The sequence below is a fragment of the Homo sapiens genome, chromosome 17, assembly GCF_000001405.40.
Source record: "Homo sapiens chromosome 17, GRCh38.p14 Primary Assembly".
Classification (NCBI taxonomy): domain Eukaryota; kingdom Metazoa; phylum Chordata; class Mammalia; order Primates; family Hominidae; genus Homo; species Homo sapiens.
Window position 1 is genome coordinate 39667676 of NC_000017.11, and position 20394 is coordinate 39688069.

Consider the following 20394-nt stretch of genomic DNA (forward strand, 5'->3'; position numbering starts at 1 on the left):
CCCGCTAAGTGCATTAGCACAGCTCACCTCCCCTATCGCGCCTGCCATCGGACGGGCAGTGCCGCGCCCTGCTCTGGGGCCCCCGGAGCGACCACAGCGGAGGCCGGAACGGACTGTCCTTTCTGGGGCGGGGTGGGGAGGGGGTGTCGCTGGAGGGCCCGGTGGCATAGCAACGGACGAGAGAGGCCTGGAGGAGGGGCGGGGAGGGGGAGTTGTGTGGCAGTTCTAAGGGAAGGGTGGGTGCTGGGACGGGTGTCCGGGAGGGAGGGGAGCCTGGCGGGGTCTGGGGCCTCGTCGCGGAGGGCGCTGCGAGGGGGAAACTGGGGAAAGGGCCTAATTCCCCAGTCTCCACCTCGAATCAGGAAAGAGAAGGGGCGGGCTGCTGGGCAAAAGAGGTGAATGGCTGCGGGGGGCTGGAGAAGAGAGATGGGAGGGGCCGGCCGGCGGGGGTGAGGGGGTCTAAAGATTGTGGGGGTGAGGAACTGAGGGTGGGGGGCGCCCAGAGGCGGGACTCGGGGCGGGGCAGGCGAGGCGGAGGGCGAGGGCTGCGGGAGCAAGTACGGAGCCGGGGGTGTGGGGGACGATTGCCGCTGCAGCCGCCGCCCCACTCACCTCCGGTGTGTCTGCAGCCCGGACACTAAGGGAGATGGATGAATGGGTGGGGAGGATGCGGCGCACATGGCCCCGGGCGGCTCGGCGGTCAGCTGCCGCCCCCACAGCGGACCGGTCGGGGCGGGGGTCGGGCGGTAGAAAAAAGGGCCGCGAGGCGAGCGGGGCACTGGGCGGACCGCGGCGGCAGCATGAGCGGCGCAGACCGTAGCCCCAATGCGGGCGCAGCCCCTGACTCGGCCCCGGGCCAGGCGGCGGTGGCTTCGGCCTACCAGCGCTTCGAGCCGCGCGCCTACCTCCGCAACAACTACGCGCCCCCTCGCGGGGACCTGTGCAACCCGAACGGCGTCGGGCCGTGGAAGCTGCGCTGCTTGGCGCAGACCTTCGCCACCGGTGAGCGGGGGAAACTGAGGCACGAGGGACAAGAGGTCGTCGGGGAGTGAAAGCAGGCGCAGGGAAATAAAAAGAAGGAAAGGGAGACAGACCAGGCGCCTAACAGATGGGGACCAAGAAACAAGAGATAGCTGAGAGGTGCAAACAGAAGAGAAAAAAGAGCAACATCCCTTAGGAGAGGGGCAGAGGAGAGAGAGGTGGAGAGAGGGGGCGGAGAGTGCTCAGAATTGAGAGCTAAGGTGGGGGATGCAGGACAGACTGAGGTGGAGATGCATAGGAGGAAATGGAGGCAGATGTGGGACAGGGGTGAGAAACTGCCAGGATTTCCTCGCTGAGCCTGGCTGGTAGGTATAGTTGTTTTCTTTCTTTTTCTTTATTTTATTTTCATTTATTTACTTATTTTTATTTTTTATTTGTTTTGAGACGGAGTTTCGCTCTTGTTGCCCAGGCTGGAGTACAATGGCGCCATCTCGGCTCACTGCAACCTCCGCCTCCCCGGTTCAAGCGATTCTCTTGCCTCAGCTTCCCTAGTAGCTGGGATTACAGGCATGCGCCCCCATGCCTGGCTAATTTATTTGTATTTTTAGTAGAGACGGGACTTCTCCATGTTGGTCAGGCTGGTCTCGAACTCCCAACCTTAGGATCCACCCACCCCGGCCTCCCAAAGTGCTGGGATTACAGGTGTGAGCCACTGCGCCCGGCCAGTAGGTATAGTCTTCTAGATGTGAAACCTGAGTCTCAGAGCGGTGAAGTTCCCTTCCGAAGGGCAGCCCATGTTGGAGCTGGGTTCAGTCTAACTCTGGGGCCAATGCTTTTTCCAGATGGAGACACATTTGCAGAGGAGAAGGAAGAACTAGAGAGAGGCAGGGAGATGCAGGGGAGGGAAGGGTAAGGAGGCAGGGGCTGCCTGGGCTGGCTGGCACCAGGACCCTCTTCCTCTGCCCTGCCCAGGTGAAGTGTCCGGACGCACCCTCATCGACATTGGTTCAGGCCCCACCGTGTACCAGCTGCTCAGTGCCTGCAGCCACTTTGAGGACATCACCATGACAGATTTCCTGGAGGTCAACCGCCAGGAGCTGGGGCGCTGGCTGCAGGAGGAGCCGGGGGCCTTCAACTGGAGCATGTACAGCCAACATGCCTGCCTCATTGAGGGCAAGGGGTAAGGACTGGGGGGTGAGGGTTGGGGAGGAGGCTTCCCATAGAGTGGCTGGTTGGGGCAACAGAGGCCTGAGCGTAGAACAGCCTTGAGCCCTGCCTTGTGCCTCCTGCACAGGGAATGCTGGCAGGATAAGGAGCGCCAGCTGCGAGCCAGGGTGAAACGGGTCCTGCCCATCGACGTGCACCAGCCCCAGCCCCTGGGTGCTGGGAGCCCAGCTCCCCTGCCTGCTGACGCCCTGGTCTCTGCCTTCTGCTTGGAGGCTGTGAGCCCAGATCTTGCCAGCTTTCAGCGGGCCCTGGACCACATCACCACGCTGCTGAGGCCTGGGGGGCACCTCCTCCTCATCGGGGCCCTGGAGGAGTCGTGGTACCTGGCTGGGGAGGCCAGGCTGACGGTGGTGCCAGTGTCTGAGGAGGAGGTGAGGGAGGCCCTGGTGCGTAGTGGCTACAAGGTCCGGGACCTCCGCACCTATATCATGCCTGCCCACCTTCAGACAGGCGTAGATGATGTCAAGGGCGTCTTCTTCGCCTGGGCTCAGAAGGTTGGGCTGTGAGGGCTGTACCTGGTGCCCTGTGGCCCCCACCCACCTGGATTCCCTGTTCTTTGAAGTGGCACCTAATAAAGAAATAATACCCTGCCGCTGCGGTCAGTGCTGTGTGTGGCTCTCCTGGGAAGCAGCAAGGGCCCAGAGATCTGAGTGTCCGGGTAGGGGAGACATTCACCCTAGGCTTTTTTTCCAGAAGCTTCCTTGAGGCTAGCATTCTGTACCACTCATTCTTCCCAAACTAAGGAAGGCCAAGGTCAGGGGAGCTCACCGGGCACCTGCAGTGCACCAGGCACTTGTGATATGCCATTGTGTCCATCGCATCATTCATTCCTGCATTCAGCAGCAGGTCCTGCTAGTCTGTTTCCAGGTGAAGCTCAGAGAGGTGAAGTCACAAACAGTGCAGACTGCTTCAGACCAGAACGAGGGAGAGTGGGGATCATGAGGAGATGGAAGTAGAATCTGCAAGGTGGTGGGGAGGTGGGGGTGTTATGATTGAAGCACAATGGCCGAGGGAAGTGAAAGGGAAAGAACTGGCTCCAGCTCCCTCTCACAACTGGACTTGAGTTCTGCCCAGCTCTGCCTCTGGGGCCTGCCATTCCCCATGCCACGTGCCCAGGCAGAGACCTCACCTCTGTTTACTGCCTCCAGCCAGCTCTGGGACCTGCCCCTGCCGCCACAACTGTCTTCTCCTGCCCTCCAGCCCACCCTATTCACACAAATGAGCTGAACAAGGGCAGGTGAGGCTTGGAATTGATTTATTAAGCACATCCCTTGCCACCCTCCCACCTTAAAAGTTTTCAGTATCAAAAGAAGCTAGCGCAGGCCACCCGAGTCCCTGAGGTTGGAGTCCTAGCATAGCTCCCCTCCCTCAAAGAGGGACAAGGGGTCAGGGGCAGAGCAAAAATCCAGTCTGCTTCAACCACGGAGACTGCCTTTGGGATGGAAAGTTTCTGGAGCTCCCTCCATTCTATTCCTGTGGGGCAGGAACATGCCAGGGCTGCTGGTAAATGGCAGGGGTCACCTTTACCAGGGCGCAGGCATAGTGTGGCCCCTGCCTGCCCTGGGGCCACCCTGGAACAGTAAGACCCTCTGGGAAGGGAAGAAACCAGACCCAGCCATAAGCTTTCTCCCCTTCTCCCTCAAATCGCCCCTTCCTCCTCCCCAAAATCAGGCTATGGCAAAGGGGCTGGCAGCAGGGGAATGGAGGTTTTGGAGGGGAAGGCCAGCCATGCGAAGGCAAGGAGAAAAGGAGGATGGAGAGAGCCCCAGCCATCCCCATTTTCCTTCCTCTGCCTCCGAGGGGCTGCTTCTGGAGGGCACTGTTGTGTGGGGACCCTGTGAGGTTTGCAGGAGGCGGGCAAAGGGGCACCAGACAGGGAACATGCACACAGGCAGCCTGGCCATGGAGAGCTCCTGGCTGTCCGCCCAGGTGGCGCCTTGGGCAGAGCTGGCGCTCCACAAGTGATTATTGATGGTGACAGGATTCCCTCATCCTGCTCCAACCTCTCAACTGTGGACACATTCACCGGCAGTCACTCATCTCACATGCCCACCAGCACGCGCACACACGTTCCCCTAACCCACGCTAACACACCCACCCCCTGCACACACACACTTTGAAGCCACACCTCTTCCCCGACAACACCCGTCTCCACACTGCGCACCTAGGCCTGAGCTCACACACACCCAGGCCCATGCTCACGGCCCTGTCACCTATGCACTCAGCCTGGCCCACACTCCCGACACACGGTGGCAGGCTCTCAACCAGACAGCAGCACAGGATCCTTGCCCTGGGCTTGCTGGAGCCCTGGCCCTGAAAGGGAGTATGGTGAGGCCTCCTGGGAACCTGGCTAGGGCAATGGTCAGGGTGAAACTCCTTCCCAATCCCAGCAGCTTGGTCCCTCAAGATCCCATGGGGAGAATCGCCGTGAACCTTGGCTGGCCAAAGAACAAGCATCCAGCACCACCTAGTGGTGTCCTGGAGGAGGGTGGGGGGTGGTAACAGAAGGGGACCCCCTGTATCCCTAAGGCCTGTGGTCCCTGGTCTCCCAGGTAGACAGAGGGCTTCAGGACCCAGCCAGGCAGCTGGGGATGTGGGGAGGAGGCTGATGGGGAGGAAACAGGCAGCTGTCCTCCCGGTAGAGCTAAGAGCACACTCAGTTCCACCCCAGTTCAGCTCCAGGAGGTAGAGGGGCTGCCCACTCTCGAGTCCCAGATGCTGGGAGGCCTTCCCTAGAACAGACTCCAAGGCTGGTGAGGGCCAACAGGGGGTGGGCTGGCCACATGATTCTGGGCCCACATCCTTCATGTCCAAGTTCAAGAAGTTGAAAAGAGAAAATCATCTCAAGGGTTGAGGGGAGAAGGGAGGCCAGCAGGGCGGGGGCAGGATCCCCACTGGGGCAGACTCGCTCCAAGGTCTTCAGTCCAGCTTGAACTTGTCCTCTGATTCCTTCAGCAGGTACAGGCTGTCATCTTCCAGAAAGCTGTGGGCCAAAGGAGTAGCCCATTGAGGCACACAGCTCTGACAGCTCGCATGGAGACAAGGGTGGGGTGCATGCAGGCAAGGTGGGAGGGGGCGGATGGGCACACAGAGCCCCCAATCTCCCCTAAGGAGTGGGCAAGGAAGGGTCCAAAGAAGGTGAGCACCAGGCAGGGGGCAGCACCCACCTGAAAAAGAGGACGTGGACAGGGATGGTGCTGATGTGCCAGATGGCATGGGCATCCAGGACCCAGAAGAGCGGTGGGAAGTCAAGCAGCTCGAGCAGGGACAGCCCCTGCAGCAGCAAGACCACCACCACGCACTTGCGCACGTGAGGCAGCCGCCGCTGGTTCCACAGGCACCAGGCCAGCCACCACACCACGTTGACCAGGCCTGGGTGCCAGTGGGGGCAGGAGAGACTCATTCCTTCGGCTCCTTCTCCCCAAGGCCACCCCCAACTCCATGCTCTCTGACCCCAGGATCATCCTCGGACTCTCCTCCCAGCCTCCTCTCTCTCCCACCTCAAATTCTTCTCCATTCCTCTACCCCAAGAGTCTCTCTAGAACCTCCTTCTCCAGGAATGGCACCAACCTCCCACTCGCACCCCAAGCTAGCACTTCTGCAGATGGCCCAAGCCCCCCAGGGCCTCACCAATAGCCACGTTGGCCACCAGGTTGTAGCCATAGTCGAAGCGGATGAGGCTCAGGTAGGAGACGTGCACGGTCAGCATGAGCAGCAGGAGAGCCCGGAAGGCACTGACCACAGCTGGGTGCTGCAGCCCCACGGTCCTGCCCCACCGTCCAGGGTTGCTCAGAGGGCAGGTGGCCCATCCCCAGAGCAGCATTCCCTGAAGCATCTCCTCCCCCCAACATTGGTGCATGGCCCCTGAAGTCACTACCCCTCTCCCCACCAAACAGGCCACAGCTGGGCAGCAAGTGCTACAGCTCCTTGTCAGGAGCCAGGGCCCCCAGTCCTACCCCAGAGTCCTCACCCAGGACAGCTGATGTGTTGGGGGTTGGGGGGCGTAGGTGTTGGGAGACTAGTGAAGAAGGCCCCCAGGGGAAGGCTGGGTGACCCCTTTCTGCCCCCAGGGTTCGATTTTGCCCCTGCAGCCACCCAGGCAGGCTCACCTGACGCAGCACAGGTAGATTGAGTGTAGGATGACAGTGGAGGCACAGAAGTAGTCCATTTTCTGAGGACAGGGAAGGGTGGTGAGGGACCAGCATGAGGCTTCACGGAGAGGACCCGCGGGGATGGGGGCATGGAGGAGTGGCAGAGAGGGGCCGGGGTCCTGGGCCTGCCTATCACTGTTTCACTCTGACTGAGTCTTGTGTTCACATCACCATACAAGTTTTTAAAAATGTGCCCAGGAACAAGGCTTTAGGGACGCTGGTGGAGGGTTCCTGCTGAGGCTCCAGGACATGACCACGCTGCACAGAATTCAGAGCACAGTGTGGAGTCTGACAGCCATGGGGTCACGTCCTGTGGCAACCCTTCACTGGCTGGGTGCCCCTAAGCATGTGGTCCCCCTGTCGAAGGCTCAGCTGCCTCATCAGGCAAGAAGAGCGAATACTCATCCCCACCTGATGAGGCTCACTGAGGATCAAGGGCACCAACAGGTTTAGGATGCCCACCCCATACTCCTCCCAGTGCTCCTCAGAGGGAGTTGGCATGACCCTCTAGAGCCCCTCTGCCCACTTCTGGGCTCCTCTGGGACCACCCTGTGCAGGAGGGGGAGCTGGAGGAATGCTCACCTCTGTGAGGTCAGTGTCCCTGGTGTGGAAAACTGTGGACCAGAACCATGCATTGAGGGACACCTAAGGAGGGAGGGGCTGGTGAGCATGCTGCCCCCCACCCTGACCTCAAGGCAGGGACCCCCATTTGCTCACATCCATTTCACCTTTGGGAAGGGGCTCTGCAGGACAAGAAATGTGCTTTTCCTGCCCCTGGAGCCCTCTGAACAAACCTATGTCCCTCTACCCCCACCCAGCCAGGGTCCCTGGGGTGGACTTCCTGCCACCCCAAACCCCCAAGGCCACGGGGGGCTGCAGCCTCCACAGGTTCCGGCCTGGCCTGGGAACCAGTTCCGGTATAGCCAAGCTCCCTAGTTACTCAATTGCTAAGACAACAGCCCCCAGGGGCCTTGCCTCCTCCTCCAACCGGCAGGTGTTGACAGCACCACCCCACCCGGGCCCAGGGGAGCCAGTGACCTCAGCCTCTGGGGGCGGGAATGAGGTGGGTGGGGTGGAGGGGCTCGAGCCAGCTTGGGGTGTGTTCCAAGCAGCAGGGGAGGGAGATCAAGCAGATCCCACTGGGGCACAGGCTCCCAGGAGGAGGGTGAACCAAGCCCAGCTTCCTCCTGGCTGGGCCTGCCCAACCCGCCAGACCAGTGGCTGCTCCCGAGCCTGGGAGGAGTAGAGGGCAGGACTGGAGGGGCTGTGGTGGGCCAGGGCCCAGGGGAATGTTTGAGGCCTTCTTCCTGGAAATTAGCTGCGTGGAGAGAGCACAAAAGTTATCTAGCGAATGAGCCTAAGAGCTTGTGGGCGTTGGTGCTGGCACTTTCTTCAGGGACTGCTGTGTCCACAGCAAAGGCCCAAACTGCTGAAAGCAGGGTGGGCTGAAGGGAAGGGCTGGGAAATCGTGACAACCAAAGGAACAGCAGGCCAGGCCGGGAATGGCCTGGAGGTGGGGAGGGATGCGCTAGGGTGGGACAGGCCTGGCGGAGATGAGGAAAGGCCAGGAACTGCTCAGTTGGCTCCAATGTACCAGGAAAACTGGCCAGGCAGGGGACAGAGGGAGGGGGCAAGAAGCTACACTCTGTCTGGCACTGTAGCAGGCAGGTCAGACAGTAAGATGCATTCCAAATGCAGGTCTGGGGAGCTCAGGAGAGAATGGGAGGAGAAGGGGTACAGGCGGGGCAGAACTGCTGCACAGCCAGTCAGGTTCTCGGGGTGCCAAGCTCTGGAAGGCGCAAGGCTGCCTAGTGCCCCTGTCTGGCCTGGGCTCTGGGCTGAGCCTTGCTGCTTCTGCTCCTCTTGACCTGGTCAAAGGGCCCTGCCCTTCTCAGCCCAAGCTTCCCCCGGGACAAATCATGGCTCAAGTGAAACTTCAGTTCCTTTCCAGCCTGGCGTTAGGTGGTGTGGTCTAGGGCAGGCTGCTTCCTCCTTTGAGGATGGCCACTCTGTCCCTTCCACCAGACTCAAGGCTCTGCCCTGCTGCAGCCCCCTCCCCAGAGACAGGCATGGAGGCTGCACAACAGGACTGAACCTGGTGGCTTCTCAGACACTGCTCCCACAGTCTGAAAAGCTTAGAGTCAGCATGGGGAGAGGAGCAGGCTTGGGCTGGAGACGGGACCCAGGCAATCACATGGACCAGTTCTCCCTGGCAGGCCAGGAACAGGGACATCCTTAGGGAGGAGAGTGGCCCTGGAGCCAATGTGGGAAGGAGAAGAGGAAGGCGGCAGGGACTGGCAGCCAGCCAGGCCTCCTTGTCACCCACAGCAGGAAGGGGGAGGTGAGAAGAGGACTGCAGGACTGAGCTAAGTGGCTCAGAACACCGAAAGCAGGGGGTGTGTGTGCGGGCAAACATATGCGTAGGGCCACAGGATGGGTGGGGCTGCTGGGTCCCCTCTCCAACCGCCTCCCTGGGTGCCTTCCACTCACAGAGACCCACCTGAAGCCTGGCCTCTGCACCCCTGAAAAGCCCCTCCCCCCTGGGGAGCATCCCACTCTGGGGGTGCTCCTCTTCTCACCCTTTCCTCAGATTTGGGAGGTAGTGGTATCATTAAGAATGCAAGCCCTACAGCCAGACTGCCAGGGTTCAGTTCCTGGCTCTGCATTTCCTGTGTGTCCTTGGGCAAGTTATTTAGCCTTGCTGTGCCTCAGTTTTCTCATCTGCAAAATGGGAATAATCATAGTTGATAAGGGTTTAATGAGCAATACAAATACAGCGTACAGCACAGAGCCCAGGACAGGCTGAAACATGAGTGTTCTCTCCACTTGCCTGACCAGCACAGAACCCCGTCAGCTTCCCATAGAACTGAGGCCTAAGAGGATGTCTGCCTCCCACTCTCCCTGCAGGCCAAGGATGTTTAGGCAGATAAGGGGTGGTCTCCTAGCTGCCTAGGCCCACCTCCACAGCTCCAGGCTGGGGGAAGAGTGTCCAGTCTTCACAATGAGACAGAGTCTGCATTCAAGTCCTGCCTCAGCCCCTACGCAGCTGTGTGACCTTGGACACATAACCCAGTATGTGTGAGCCTCCACTGCCTCACCTACAAAACAGGTTCATAATGATGCTCACTGCACAGGAGGCCATGAGGACGAGGTCTGCGGAATGCCTGGCACCAAGGAACTCCTCTGAATGGCTGCTGGTTTTGCTGCCTGGTCCATAGTAGGTGCCCATCAATGTCAGTTTCCTTCATCAGGTCCAGTAGACTGACTCTCACCACGCCCGTTCACCTGCCCCTCAACTTCCCTTTCCGCAAGGGTCACAAAGTTTGAGGTCAAACTATGGGGCCTCAGGGTCTCTCCATTCCAGAACGGAGACACCTCAGCTATAGGAAGAGCCCCTCCTCCTTCCTCTGGAGCCATGTTCCCATCAATGTGAACCGAACAGATCCATTTCTCCTCACTCAGAGTTTGTCATCAAGAGCAAGCAAAGGGGAAAGATGGGCTCTGGAAGGAAGGAGAGTTCCAAGATGCCAAGGCACGGCTACTCTCGGACTCCTTGCCACGCTCAAGTGAAGGGGGGCAGGGAGGGGAACTGGCCAGGAGGGCGACAGGCTGCCCAGCAGGCACCCAGAGCTTTGCGTAAACACTGAGGAGAGGGGGTGGCCAGGGGCAGGGTGCCAGTGGGGGTGGAATAGGAGACTGGGTGGAGGGAGAGCAAGAGGCTGTTTCAGTCTGTTGGAAATAAGAAAATCGAGACAAAAATATCACAGCCGTGAAACTGGTTGGATGCCAAGTGAGCCAGATCTGTCAGGAATTCGACCCGGCGCTAAGCCCCAGTGCTCGGGGCTGTCATTGACACCATGGCGGTGGGGACAAGTGGGGCTTAAAATAGCTCAGTGTCTCAGAAGTGGGGGAGGCAGAATGTTAAATATGATGCCTGCTGCCATCCTGGGCTCCTCTGGAGGCCACAGTGTCTCACCCCCTGCCTCAGGCAGGGCAGGCCAGCCCCAGCTCACTCCTGAGAGAAGGGAGACAGAGGTGGATGCGGATGGGAGAAGGAGGGCTTTTTCCAAGATCCCAGAGGATCCCTTGATTTCCTGCCATTGCCTGTTCCACTAGCTCTTGTCTGACCATGGGAAGTCCTTCCTGAAGTCTAACCATCATTCTACTACAGCTGCAACCTACCTCTTCTTGTAGTTTGCTTAACAGAGGAAGAGAAGAATCAGTCCCCACCTACACAAACCACTCTACAGAGATGGTTTGGGCTTCCCACCACTTCACCCTCCTCTCTACACCTGAGGACCTTTCCTGACTGGATGAAGGCCTGGGGAATTGGTTTGGCCTTCTGGCTTTGGCACACAGCAGGGGCCCCTACTCCGTGAAGTCAAAGAGACATGGTATGCGGAGCTTTGGTAGGCTCCCCACCCGCCGCCTGGCTGCTCCCCAGCCCAAGCCCAGGCCTAAATGGCAAGGCAAGGGCTGCCTTCTTGTGCCAGCGTTATCATGAGTCCTGCTGGAGGGCGGGGTCTCCTCATTTCCCAGAGGCAAAGCTGAGGTACCCTTCCCCCAAGACTTAGCCCGGAGCGGGTGAGGGACCTTGCCTTCCTATCCTCACCCCAACAGAAATCAGGAGCCTCAGTGCCCCAGAAGGCCCAGGTCAAAGTCCACTGCCGCACCCTCCATACAGCTCAGGATCCCTCCCTCCTGCAGAAACTCACAGGGCAACTGGGAAGCCCAAGAGCAACTGGGAAAGCCAAACTAGGCCATCCACAGGAGTGTGGGTTCTGAGGCTTTGTTTCTTGAAGGCCTAGTGAGAGCATGAGGGGGTCCCATGTCCCAGAACCCCACATCCCATAAGACACACAGGGCCCAACTATCTGCCTTCTACCACCCCAACATCTAACATCTCCTGCTTTTTCTGTTTTTGTTTTTGTTTTTTTTGAGATGGAGTCTCGCCCAGTCACCCAGGCTGGAGTGCAGTGGCGCCACCTTGGCTCACTGCAACCTCTGCCTCCCAGGTTCAAGCAATTCAGCCTCCCGAGTAGCTGGGATTACAGGCACCCATCACCACGCCTGACTAATTTTTGTATTCTTAGTAGAGACGGGGTTTCACCATGTTGGCCAGCCTGGTCTTAACTCCTGACCTCAGATGATCCACCTGCCTCAGCCTCCCAAAGTGCTGGGATTACAGACGTGAGCCACCATGCCCGGCCATCTGCTGCTTTTTCTCTAGGGTCCTTAGTCACACTGGACTGCAGGCTACCCTGGGGAAGTGTGACCCCCCTCTCCAAGAAGGAAGCTGAGTTGCAGATACCATTGAGGTGAAAAATCCAAGAATCAGGGATGACAAGACCAGATCTGTGAAGTGACCCCTGGCCTCTGGCACATGTTATAAAGACAAGGGGTGGGACCCTCCGATCTAAGAAGGCTCTAAGCTTCTTCAGAGTTCAGGCAGGGCTGTCCCATGCTCTCTAGTAGAGGTGGGGACAAGTGGGTGGTACACGCTGTGGGCCCAGACAAGCAGTGTCCGTGGAAGAACCCCAAAGGAAAGCAGACAGGTGTAACGTCCTCAGCTTCCCTGCCCTTCCTGCTTTCTTAGCCAGGACTAAATTTGCTTCGCTCCAAGAGGCCTACACAGGAAGTGGTGGCTTTATCTCACCCAGCCTGTGACAGTGTGTGCCGATGCCAGGCCCTGCCTACATCAGAGCCCCTAGCCCTCAGCCTGGCACTCAGGGGCCTCTCTGCTCCATCTACTCTTCTACTCCTATTCACACAGCTACAATGGGGCCAAGGTTTCCTGGAATGCTGGAATTCAATCCCCTGTCCCCACACATGTATGTGTCTAAGCCTTGCCCCACACATGTATGTGTCTAAGTCCCAGATTAAACCTCTCCTCCTCCCCGGGCTTCCCTGGCCTGGCAGACTTCCCCAGTTAGAGGACGCGGTCTCCCCACCTCACGACTCCCAGGGCTCTCTACCGGAGCACCCCTTGACTCTGCCTGCCGTCTGCTGCCCAGGCTGCCCAGAACTGCACCTCCCACTATGCTTAGCTCCCTGGGGCAGGGGATTCAGCCTCCACAAGTGCTAAACCCTGTCTCCACCCCCAGCAAATGCTCAATGGACACTCATCACAGGACACGGAGTGGCCTAGAAGAAGAGCTAAGTTCTCAGGCCCTGGAGCCAGACAGCCCTGGACACCAACCCTGTCTTTATTCCTTGCTAACTTGTTAGCTGTGCATTTTGGGCAAGTTTTTTTCCCCTCTGAATCTAACTCAGAGCTCATAAGGGTACTATGAGGATGAAATAAGGAAATGTATGTAAAGTGCTTCAGACAAGCCTGTCACATGGCTCCTGTTCCTTAATTTATCACAACTGTTATTAATAGTTGTTGAATAGGAAGTATTAAGGAGGGTCCATATTTCCCAGAGGTTTAACAGCCTCCTTCCCTGACCTCCTTCCCACGCCCACCTCCCAAGTCTAAGGCTCGGCCTGGACTTCGCAGCACGCCCCATCTATCAGCTTTTCTAAGGCCCTAGAGACCTCTGTGTCTCCAGATTCCGGGGTCTCCTTCAGTTCTCACGTGTACAATTCAGGACAGCAGAAGCCTCTCTCCTTCCTGTGCTCATCCCGGGAAGCACAATCCAAGCACACTATCTCCCAGTTCTCCACCTGCCCCTCCGGCTACTCCTTCTGTCTCTGTGTCTGGCTCATCTTCCTTTAGCCAGCCATTACATTTTGGGGTTCCCCAGGGCTTTGCCCTAGATCCCTTCTCTTTTCACTAGGCTCTCCTGGGGTGATCTCATCCACACCCACAGCTTCTATCACTGTCTTTTTTTTTTTTAAAGACAGGTCACCCTTTGTCACCCGGGCTAGAGCAACAAGAGTACAGTGACAGGATCACAGCTCACTGCAGCCTCGACCTCCTGGGCTCAAGTGATCCTCCCACCTCAGCCTCCTACTAGCTGGGACTACGGGCATGTGCCACCAGGCCTGGCTTATTTTTTTTGTATTTTTGGTAGAGACGGGGTTTCACCATGTTGCCCAGGGTGGTCTGGAACTTGTGAGCTCAAGCAATCCGCCCACTTCAGCCTTCCAAAGTGCTGGAACCGCAGGTGTGAGCCACTGCGCCCGGCCTCCATCACTGTCTTATAAGCAGAAACACAAGGGGTCATCCCTTACTGCTCTTTCCTCATCTAATCCACTCTTGAAGTTTATCAGCATAGCCAAGATGTTGAAAGTGTGGACTCTGGAGCCAGATGCCTGAATTCAAACCCTGGCTCGGTGATCTGTGGCTGGACTTAACCTTTTCAGTCCTTGGTTTCCTCATCTATAAACTGGGGATGAGAATAATAATACCTATAAGCTGCGTTAAACAAAAATTACGGGAGGCCATTGTTCTGGATTGAGCCCCCGCACTAGACCCAAGAGACCAGACAAAAATGAAGTCACTCATGCTAAATGCCACATAATCAAACTGAAACTTTTTTTTTTTCTGAGACGGAGTTTCACTGTTGTTGCCCAGGCGGGAGTGCAATGGCGTGATCTCAGCTCACCGCAACCTCCGCCTTCCGGGTTCAAGTGATTTTCCTGCCTCAGCCTCCCAAGTATCTGGTACTAAAGGCATGCAACACTATGCCCAGCTAATTTTGTATTTTTAGTAGAGACAGGGTTTCTTCATGTTGGTCAGGCTGGTCTTGAACTCCTGACCTCAGGTGATCCACCCGCCTTGGCCTCCCAAAGTGCTGGGATTACACGCCTGAGCCACCGCACTTGATCTTCAAACTGAAACTTTAAGGTAACTGATAGGTCCCAAAACAGACCACTTTTTCCTGAAAACAGGAGAGTCCAGTCTACCCAAGTAAGGAAGTCTCCTCTGCTTTAACCCTTATAAAAAAAAACCTGATGTGGGCCGGGCGCAGTGGCTCATGCCTGTAATCTCAGCACTTTGGGAGGCCGAGGCAGGCGGATCACGAGATCAGGAGATCGAGACTATCCTGGCTAACATGGTGAAACCCCATCTCTACTAAAAATACACACACAAAAAATTAGCCAGGTGTGGTGGTGGGCGCCTGTAGTCCCAGCTACTTGGGAGGCTGAGGCAGGAGAATGGCGTGAACCCGGAAGGCAGAGCTTGCAGTGGGCCAAGATGGCGCCACTGCACTCCAGCCTGGGTGACAGAGTGAGACTCTGTCTCAAAAAAAAAAAAAAAAAAAAAAAAAAAAAAAAAAAATCTGATGTTAACCAATCAGGTTTCTTTCTATTGTTCTGTTTCCTGGTTCCCACCTTACAAAACCCACTGTTCTGCTATTGCCCAATGGAAACTTGCATTCTATTTTGTAGAACGGAGGCTGCACCAATTCATGAATCACAAATTAAAGCCAATTGGCTCTATAAGTAAGTTTGCTGTAATTTGTCTTTTGCCACTTGTTATGGATGAACAAGCTTAATACTTATAAAATGCTTAGAGTGATGCCTGGCATACAGTATGAGCTATGTATGTATTTGTTAAGGAAATAAATTTTTAAAAAGCTTTAATGTTACCTCCAAAACACAGCTCAAGTGTACTTCTCTTCAATGCCCAAGACCCATGCCACCTCTCTAGTCTAGCTACTGGGCCCTGTGCTAAAACTACCAACTGGTCTACTGCATCCACTCCCGCCCCCTTCAATCTGTTCTCTACACAGTAGCCAGAATGAGCTTTCCAAAGGGCAAATCTATTCATGAAACAACTTTTCTCCTCAACCCTCATTTAAAATCCCTCCGTAGGCCGAGCACGGTGGCTGATGCCTGTAATCCCAGCACTTTGGGAGGGTGAGGTGGGCGGATCACGAGGTCAGGAGTTCAAGACCAGCCTGGCCAACATAGTGAAACCCCATCTCTACTAAAAATACAAAAATTAGCCAGGCATGGTGGCACATGCCTGTAGTCCCAGCTGCTCAGGAGGCTGAGGCAGGAGAATCGCTTGAACTGGGAGGCAGAGGTTGCAGCGAGCCAAGATAGCGCCACTGCACTCCAGCTGGGGCAACAGAGTGAGACTTTGTCTCAAATAAAATAAAATAAAATAAAATAAAATCCCTCCGTACTTCCTGATGCTTTGAGAGTCAAGATCTCCAATGTGAGGCTCTCCATGGCTGGCCCCATCCACCACCCATCAGTCCGCCCAGCTCACACCCACTCTCTGATTTCCTGCATGTCAGGCTGCCTGGAATGACCCTCCCTCTCTCCCACCTGGGCACTTTCTGAGACTTCTCTTTAGAAGCCTTCCCTTACTCTTCTCAAATTTACCTAGTTAACATTCATGCATCCTTCCCACCTTACCTTTAATGCCCCTTCCCCAGGGAAGCCTTCCCTGATGGCCCCATGCTGGTCTTGGTCTGCCTTTACACACACCCCTGAAGCACCTCTCCCCGACTGCACTTTTTCATAGTTGTACTCTTACATTCAATTGTATGATTAGCACCAGAGGGCAGACTTCTGGATCTCCAGCAAAGTGCCTGGCATATAGTAGGTGCTCAACACCTGAGTGAATGGCTTCTGTGAGAGCAGGAAGGTGAGTGAATGGAAATTTTTTCCTTAAGGCTTACAGGGGCAGCTCCGACCTAGAGACATCCGTTGCAACCTTTCATTCTCACACCCTTCCCAAGGCCGTCACGGTCCATATCTGCACCCCAGTCTGTGCTTATCACACAATACCAGGCCCTGAATACAGCTCTTTAGACCAGCCGTACTGTGAAGCTGACAGCCCTTTCTGCACCTGCAGATGTAACCATACCTGGGCTTCTCCAGGGATGGTCTAAGCCTAGGCTGAGCTCGCCAGGTGCAGTGACTCACAACTGTAATCCCTGCACTTTGGGAGGCCGAGGTGGGTGGATCACCTGAGGTTGGGAGTTCGAGACCAGCCTGACCAACATGGAGAAACCCCGTCTCTACTAAAAATACAAAATTAGCCAGGTGTGGTGGCACGCGCCTATCATCCCAGCTACTTGGGAGGCTGAGGCAGGAGAATTGCTTGAACCCAGGAGGTGGAGGTTGCAGTGAGCCAAGATTGCGCCATTTGCACTCCAGCCTGGGTGACACAGTGAGACTCTGTCTCAAAAAAAAAAAAAAAAAAAAAAAAAAAAAGACTAGGCTGAGCTCTACACAGAGACTATGGCTGTGACTCCCCACCAGGCCTGGGCTGGAATTGAGATTGCTCCAAGTCCTCCAGAAGGGCCCTTGGAAAGACCTGTGGTCCCAGCATCCTCTTTAGCCCCCCATCTCCCCTCTGTGTTTGTAAACTGTCCTACTGGGTCTTTTAGTGGCTTCCTTCTTCAGGACAAGAAAAATGCCCTTCTTTCCTCTCTCCTTCCCAAACAGCCTGACCTAGGGCTCTGCTGGAAAGGTAAGGCCCGATTCAGCACCCTCCCTGTTTTCTCCCCAGGCTTTACCACCCTGCAGCTGCAACTTTAGCCCTGGGAAACAGAGGGGAAGCTGGTAAGTAGAAGCCCTGTTGGGTGTTAATAGGGATGTAGAGCTCCACCTTCCTAGATAAGAGGAGACAGCAGGAGTCCTGCTAGGTTACCTACCCAGGCGAAGGCCACACAGGTGTGGTACATGGGGGAGGAGGCTGGCACGAAGGTGCGGTAGCGGCAGAGCATCACCAGGCTGGCCAGGCCATTGAGAAACGAGGCCACGGCCGATGCCGGCTCTTGAAAGAACAGGAACCGGGAGAAGGGCCACTGAAAAAGGAGCAGATGAAGGAGGTTTGAAGGGCAGGCAACCCTCAACTGGCCCAGTCCACCTATTCTTGACATGCTGAAGCAACAGGTCCTCAGCTGAGTCCTCAGCTCTGGAGTTTGGCCAAAGCCTCAGGTTCAGTACCTCTTCAGACTAATGAGCCACCCTCCAGTGCCTAGTTAAGAGTTATACCCCCATCCTGGCCAGCAGGCACAGCACTGTAAGCCCTGATCTCTGGGAAGACCAGATGGGTCAGGGTAGATGACTCAGTATGGCCTGGTGGAAACAGCACAGAGTTGCCATCCAGAAGACACAGGTCCCAACCCCTCCTCTACCACTGACCACGGTCCTTTGAGCCTCAGCTTACTCTGTGAAAAACTGGGGTGAATACTTCCTGCCAACCTCAACAGGCCAGAATGAGATAATACTGGATTGAAACGTACCAGCAGGCCAGGCGCGGTGGCTCACGCCTGTAATCCCAGCACTTTGGGAAGCTGAGGCGAGAGGGTCACAAGGTCAGGAGATTGAGACCATCCTGGCTAACATGGTGAAACCCCATCTCTACTTAAAAAAAAAAAAAAAAAAATACAAAAAATTAGCTGGGTGTGGTGGCACACACCTGTAGTCCCAGCTACTTGGGAGGCTCAGGCATGAGAATTGCTTGAACCTGGGAGGTAGAGGTTGCAGTGAGCCAAGATCATGCCACTGCACTCCAGCCTGGGCGACAGAGGGAGACTCCATCTCAAAAAAAAAAACAAAAAACAAAAAACAAAAGAAAGAAAGGTACCAGCAAACTGTGCCTCGCTAGACAAGCTGAAGCATATTACTGTGAATCCAGACCCCTACTGGAGAAGCAACAGGAAACAAGCCACAGTAGGTAAGGGAATTTGTCCCTGCAGTAAGGTGGGCATCTCAACCACTCTAAGAGGCCCAGCACCACTCTCTGGGGAGACTCCAAAGCCTTCCAGATATTGCTACTCCAAATCCAGAGGCAGGACACATGGGTCCTATCCAATTCTATGGAAACCAGCAGATTTTGGGGAGAACAGGTAGCTGCCCCAAACACACACGCATTACCCCATGCCTCAGACTGCTTGGACAGTGTGGTCCAACCAGGGGGTATATTACTCCTACCACGCTACTACCATATGCCTACCCTGACCCTCCAACTCACCTTGCCATGGAACTGAGGCACTTTGTGACCTTCCTGGAGGTAGAGCCCAACGGTGACCCACATACACTCATACTTACAGTCGTCCCGACAGGTCCAGCCTGAAACAGACAAATGTGGCCTGGTGAACTCCCCAGCACAGAGAGGAAAGAGAGAGCATGAATGGGGTCCAAGCGCAAATGTAGGCCAAGAGGGCCTGTAAGTTGGAGAGAACCAGGAGAAATCTCAAAATTCTAGCTTCCCCTTTGAATGAATGAGAGATGATGAGATGTACACATAGGGGAAGGTGTATGTACGTATGTATGCATATTTTAGTGAGCAATTAGAGATATTCGTCTTTTTTTTGTTTGTTTTTTTGAGACAGTTTTGTTTTTGTTGCCCAGGCTGGAGTGCAATGGTGCGATCTCGGTTCACTGCAACCTCCGCCTCCTGGGTTCAAGCGATTCTCCTGCCTCAGGCTCCCGAGTAGCTGGGATTACAGGCATGCACCACCACACCCAACTAATTTTGTATTTTTAGTAGAGATGGGGTTTCTCCATGTTGGTCAGGGTGGTCTTGAACTCCCAACCTCAGGTTATCTGCCTGCCTCTGCCACCTAAAGTGCGGGGATTGCAGGCACGAGCCACCGCACCCGGCATTTTTTTTTTTTTTTTTTTTTTGAGACAGGGTCTCGCTCTTTCATCCAGGCTGGAGTGCAGTGGGGAGAGCATGGCTCACCACAGCCTTGACCTCCTGGGCTCAAACGATCCTCCCACCTCAGCCTCCCAAGTAGCGAGACCACAATGTCTGGCTAATTCTTTTATTTTTTGTAGAGAAGGCATCTTGTCATGTTGCCTAGGCTAGTCTTGAACTCCAGGGCTCAGATGATCTTTCTACCTTGGCAGACATTTCCTCTCCTTTTGCTCAAGTCCATCAAGATGTTGGCATCTGATGAACTCATCTATGGAAACCTGGGTTTATATTTGTCCTTCCTGAATATAGGATTTGCTCTTACTCTCCTGGAAGGAGTTCTTGCTATCTTACTCCCTTCCTATGAAAATGAAGCCCAAATTCTTCAACCTGACTTTTGAGGCTCCAAATTGCCTTTCCAACCGTATTGGTCACTACTCCTGTTCATGTACCCTGCTCCCTGAGTAAATAAAGCTCCTGGATGTGCCCACATCTGCCCAGGGCATCCATTCTCTCTGTTCCCTCTGTCTGGAATGCAAAGTGGTATAATAGTAAAGAGGACAAGCTTGTGGTCAAACAGGCCAGAACTGGAAACTCCACTTTACTACATACTGGCTGTGTGACCTTGGGCAGGGCATTTAATCTCTCTAATCCCCATCTGTAAAACTGGGATTAGAGAAACTATCTCAAAGGGTGTGATAAAAATTACTTGACATATTGTGACACCTGTCACACAGTGAGTGCTCAATACGTTGGTTCTTTGCCCACTATGGTCCAAATCGAATGTACCAGTCCAAAGTCCCTCCTTCAAACAAAACGTTCCAAGATGATCCCTGCCCCCACGTCTTCAAAGCCGGAACTGACACCTTCCTATCCCAAATGCTTCCTAATCAAAGAGTCTTTCAGGGGCTCAAATCATTCTCTGCCTTGCACTTGAAAAGGCTCATGTCCCCGTGGGGACTGTGAGTCCCAATGGGCGGGACCCTGGTCTGATTTCTGTGCCATTCCTAGACATTGTGGCCCGAATGTATTTAATAAATACCCTTTTGACTGAACAAATAAGTAAATGAAAGCTTCTGGGAAAGTAAGAGAGGCTGGTAAGGCTCTCATCACCTTAGGGGCTTCACTCACATTCATAAGAGACCTCGTGGGGAAACTAAGGTTCAGGGATTGCAGAGGCGTATTGGGGGCGCAGGGGGCGGGAGCAAGACAAATGGGCGGGGCTTACCGTGGGGGTGGGGCTTACCTGCTAGACTCATGTAGATTGGCTGGCGGGAGCGGAAGTGATTCAGAGCGCCCCCAGAGCAGTTCTGCTCTTCGCACTGCAGTACGCAGTCGCGGTACACCGGCTCACGGTCGCCCTGGGAGCCGCTCGCCAGCGCCGCTGCCCCAGCTAGCAGGACCAACCGCGCCGCCAGGCCGGCCATCCTTTCTCCCTGGCTCGCCGCCGGGGGAGGAGCTTAGGAGTATGAAGCTTCCACT

The 20394-nt window shown here is 55.5% G+C and overlaps 2 protein-coding genes across 12 annotated transcripts, besides 11 other annotated features; one reads left to right on the forward strand and one right to left on the reverse strand.

Moving 5' to 3' along the window:
- Nucleotides 344-2800, forward strand: PNMT (phenylethanolamine N-methyltransferase). Of its 3 annotated transcripts, none has more exons than NR_073461.2 (3): nucleotides 344-395; nucleotides 1954-2161; nucleotides 2276-2800. NR_073461.2 is itself a non-coding variant. In NM_002686.4 (3 exons), exons 1-3 carry the CDS (start codon nucleotides 801-803, stop codon nucleotides 2712-2714), a joined length of 849 nt encoding a protein of 282 aa, NP_002677.1. In that variant the 5' UTR covers nucleotides 778-800; the 3' UTR covers nucleotides 2715-2800. The 3 variants fall into 3 exon arrangements, 2 of the variants coding, with proteins under 2 accessions (NP_002677.1, XP_011523211.1); NM_002686.4 differs by lacking the exon at nucleotides 344-395 and adding an exon at nucleotides 778-1002; XM_011524909.3 differs by lacking the exon at nucleotides 344-395 and adding an exon at nucleotides 941-1346.
- Nucleotides 612-861: a silencer, noted in NCBI's record as "silent region_8461". NCBI's record gives its function as "represses an Ori minimal core promoter by ATAC-STARR-seq in GM12878 lymphoblastoid cells {active_cell/tissue: GM12878}" and the evidence as "EXISTENCE:reporter gene assay evidence [ECO:0000049][PMID:35858748]".
- Nucleotides 1002-1161: an enhancer, noted in NCBI's record as "active region_12101". NCBI's record gives its function as "activates an Ori minimal core promoter by ATAC-STARR-seq in GM12878 lymphoblastoid cells {active_cell/tissue: GM12878}" and the evidence as "EXISTENCE:reporter gene assay evidence [ECO:0000049][PMID:35858748]".
- PGAP3 (post-GPI attachment to proteins phospholipase 3) lies at nucleotides 3447-20382 on the reverse strand. Of its 9 annotated transcripts, NM_033419.5 has the most exons (8): nucleotides 20159-20382; nucleotides 18247-18344; nucleotides 16922-17074; nucleotides 6942-7004; nucleotides 6318-6379; nucleotides 5839-5975; nucleotides 5376-5580; nucleotides 3447-5191 (listed from the first exon to the last, which is right to left on the reverse strand). In NM_033419.5, the coding sequence occupies exons 1-8, from the start codon at nucleotides 20337-20339 to the stop codon at nucleotides 5128-5130; spliced, it is 963 nt and encodes a 320-aa protein (NP_219487.3). In that variant the 5' UTR covers nucleotides 20340-20382; the 3' UTR covers nucleotides 3447-5127. The 9 variants fall into 9 exon arrangements, with proteins under 9 accessions (NP_219487.3, NP_001278655.1, NP_001278657.1 ...); NM_001291726.2 differs by lacking the exon at nucleotides 16922-17074; NM_001291728.2 differs by lacking the exon at nucleotides 6942-7004.
- Nucleotides 7019-7566: an enhancer, noted in NCBI's record as "H3K4me1 hESC enhancer chr17:37830947-37831494 (GRCh37/hg19 assembly coordinates)". NCBI's record gives its function as "activates a minimal SCP1, AML or CMV promoter by ChIP-STARR-seq in naive H9 embryonic stem cells {active_cell/tissue: H9 hESC(naive)}" and the evidence as "EXISTENCE:reporter gene assay evidence [ECO:0000049][PMID:30033119]".
- Nucleotides 7019-10602: a biological region, named in NCBI's record as "VISTA enhancer hs1769".
- Nucleotides 7196-10602: an enhancer, noted in NCBI's record as "VISTA enhancer hs1769". NCBI's record gives its function as "enhancer in: heart[6/7]" and the evidence as "EXISTENCE:transgenic organism evidence [ECO:0001131][PMID:17130149]".
- Nucleotides 7567-8112: an enhancer, noted in NCBI's record as "H3K4me1 hESC enhancer chr17:37831495-37832040 (GRCh37/hg19 assembly coordinates)". NCBI's record gives its function as "activates a minimal SCP1, AML or CMV promoter by ChIP-STARR-seq in naive and primed H9 embryonic stem cells {active_cell/tissue: H9 hESC(naive and primed)}" and the evidence as "EXISTENCE:reporter gene assay evidence [ECO:0000049][PMID:30033119]".
- Nucleotides 8113-8658: an enhancer, noted in NCBI's record as "H3K4me1 hESC enhancer chr17:37832041-37832586 (GRCh37/hg19 assembly coordinates)". NCBI's record gives its function as "activates a minimal SCP1, AML or CMV promoter by ChIP-STARR-seq in primed H9 embryonic stem cells {active_cell/tissue: H9 hESC(primed)}" and the evidence as "EXISTENCE:reporter gene assay evidence [ECO:0000049][PMID:30033119]".
- Nucleotides 8817-8876: a silencer, noted in NCBI's record as "silent region_8462". NCBI's record gives its function as "represses an Ori minimal core promoter by ATAC-STARR-seq in GM12878 lymphoblastoid cells {active_cell/tissue: GM12878}" and the evidence as "EXISTENCE:reporter gene assay evidence [ECO:0000049][PMID:35858748]".
- Nucleotides 11844-11903: an enhancer, noted in NCBI's record as "active region_12102". NCBI's record gives its function as "activates an Ori minimal core promoter by ATAC-STARR-seq in GM12878 lymphoblastoid cells {active_cell/tissue: GM12878}" and the evidence as "EXISTENCE:reporter gene assay evidence [ECO:0000049][PMID:35858748]".
- Nucleotides 11844-12354: a biological region, named in NCBI's record as "H3K4me1 hESC enhancer GRCh37_chr17:37835782-37836282".
- Nucleotides 11854-12354: an enhancer, noted in NCBI's record as "H3K4me1 hESC enhancer chr17:37835782-37836282 (GRCh37/hg19 assembly coordinates)". NCBI's record gives its function as "activates a minimal SCP1, AML or CMV promoter by ChIP-STARR-seq in naive H9 embryonic stem cells {active_cell/tissue: H9 hESC(naive)}" and the evidence as "EXISTENCE:reporter gene assay evidence [ECO:0000049][PMID:30033119]".